General features: G+C 50.6%; 1 annotated feature.

Annotated features, from left to right (window-relative positions):
- Positions 357-1,230: an enhancer, noted in NCBI's record as "H3K27ac-H3K4me1 hESC enhancer chr6:4402855-4403728 (GRCh37/hg19 assembly coordinates)". NCBI's record gives its function as "activates a minimal SCP1, AML or CMV promoter by ChIP-STARR-seq in naive H9 embryonic stem cells {active_cell/tissue: H9 hESC(naive)}" and the evidence as "EXISTENCE:reporter gene assay evidence [ECO:0000049][PMID:30033119]".

The raw sequence follows: 2,029 nt of genomic DNA, 5'->3' as shown, positions 1-2,029 counted from the left end.
TTTATTCTACATACACCTGCCTTGACTTTGTCATATTCCTGGTACATGGATTCAGATGGAGACAGTCAAACAGCAAAATTTAGTGTATTTATCTCCAATAATGTGTCTCCCTGGAAAGCAGGAGTCATTTATTTGGGAAGACTCCCCCATTTTCTTCATTTTTGTTGATGGCTGAGTAACAAAACCCAGCCACCTCTTCTTCCCCTACGCTGTGGAGCAGCAAGAGAAAAACTTCTGGCAAGTTTTCCAAAAGGTGCCAGCATCTCAATGACCAAAGGCAAGAATGTCGATGTTGTTCAGCTGGGTGTGTGCCTGGAACATTTGCCCCATTGGAAAAGGAGAAGGTTTGCCTCACAATAGAACTCTGTGTTTCCTGTTAACATTCTGGAAAAACAGAAAATAATAGCAACCCGGGCTCCTCGAGTGCAATGCCACCGTGCCATCCATTTTGTGGCCTTTGGTGTTATTTAGCATTTTGGGTGCTCTCTCTATTGCTAGAGTAAGCAGACATAGAAAAATAGAACGATCAAGGGATATGCACACGCACACACACATGCACACAGATGTCTTACAACAGCGACCTTGGGTCTCATGAGCAGCACAAAGCCCAGAGAAGTTAAACAACTGGCCTATAGTCACACAGCCATGGCAGCGATGGTCACACGTGTTTCTAAATGTGTTCCTTCAGTCCTACGCTTCAGCCCTGGGTGTTGCTGCTTTTGGCTCCCTTTACTTTTAATTTTGTTCTGTTCCTAAAAAAGAACCCAAGAAAAAGAATGCTTACACTACGAGGAACAGAATAACAGAATTCTGTGTTTTTTCATCTTGCTCACAGACCTCCAAACCCAGAGGAGAATTCTGAGTGAGTAGCAGGGTGAGAGCTAAGCCCCAGGCCACGTGCACATGACCCCCACCTCCAGCCGAAAGTCATGGTCACATGTCACGCCTCCATGCGGCTGCAGGGCCAGGCATGTACTAAGAGCCCTGCCATGGGCAGTGCCAGGACGGGAGGAGACACACACTGAGGGCAACTGCTCTGGCCACAGGACCGGAGGGACGCATCCGACCTGAGGCACCTTCCTCCTTGGAGATTTCTGCCTCTGCTTAATTACAGCTGGCTTCTCTGAAGTCAATCTGGTCAAGGTCAACTGGCCACTATGGGAAATCAAGCTCAGGGAGGTAAATTTAGAGAGCTGAAGGGACACCCTCACTGCCTGCTCCAGCTATGACTCAGCGGAAATTCTGAAATGAAGAGCCAAATGCTTGTGGAAGAGAGCAGCATAGAGGCGTGTGGGATTGGCAGTGAATGAGTAAACATCAGGAATGGCTGAATGAATGAATGAACAAATGAAAGCACGAGCCCTTTGCATCTGCAGAGCGGCTCTGGGGAAAGTAACTGGAGTTAAGGACTCTCTGCAATGGGTTAGTTGGAGGATGCTTACAGGACGTGTGGAGTCCTTGGGGGAGCCTGGAGGTGACACTTGCTCCCTCCACGTGACACCCATGCAGTTGGGCAAAGCCTCTGAGTTTGACGGAGGAGGAAATCCTAAGTGGATGGACTTGGAGAGGGCCCGTGGCTCCCAGCCACCATATGACATACAGAAACAGGGTCGGCGGGGTGGTCGGCGGCAGCTGGCAGGCGTCTCTGGTTGGAAACGGAGCAGCTACAAATAGGCGGTGACCTTCTGTAGCCATCCTGCTCCCACAGAAGGAGATGCGCTCTGGGAAGAGGCTGCTGGGTGTGTGCCAGTGCTGAGGCCAGGGGGAAGGAACTCAGTCTTCCCATTGCAAGGAGCTCAGCTCCTTTGGGTAGCAGAGGGAAGGGGGACACCTGTCTCCATCTGGGGTGGAGATCCTGGTCTTACATTCTGCCAGAATGAGAGCCTGAAACACACTCAGTGGAGAATCCTGAAGAAGGACATGTCAGACATAACCCCAGGCGGGGCTCCCGCAAAGGTAGGGCGGGACACTGTCACCTGCGACGGCCATGAAGACTATTCCTTTCTGACCAGCTGGACCCAGTTTTTCT

This window comes from Homo sapiens, chromosome 6 (genome assembly GCF_000001405.40).
Source record: "Homo sapiens chromosome 6, GRCh38.p14 Primary Assembly".
Classification (NCBI taxonomy): Eukaryota; Metazoa; Chordata; class Mammalia; order Primates; family Hominidae; genus Homo; species Homo sapiens.
This window is presented reverse-complemented; position numbering and strand designations above follow the sequence as displayed.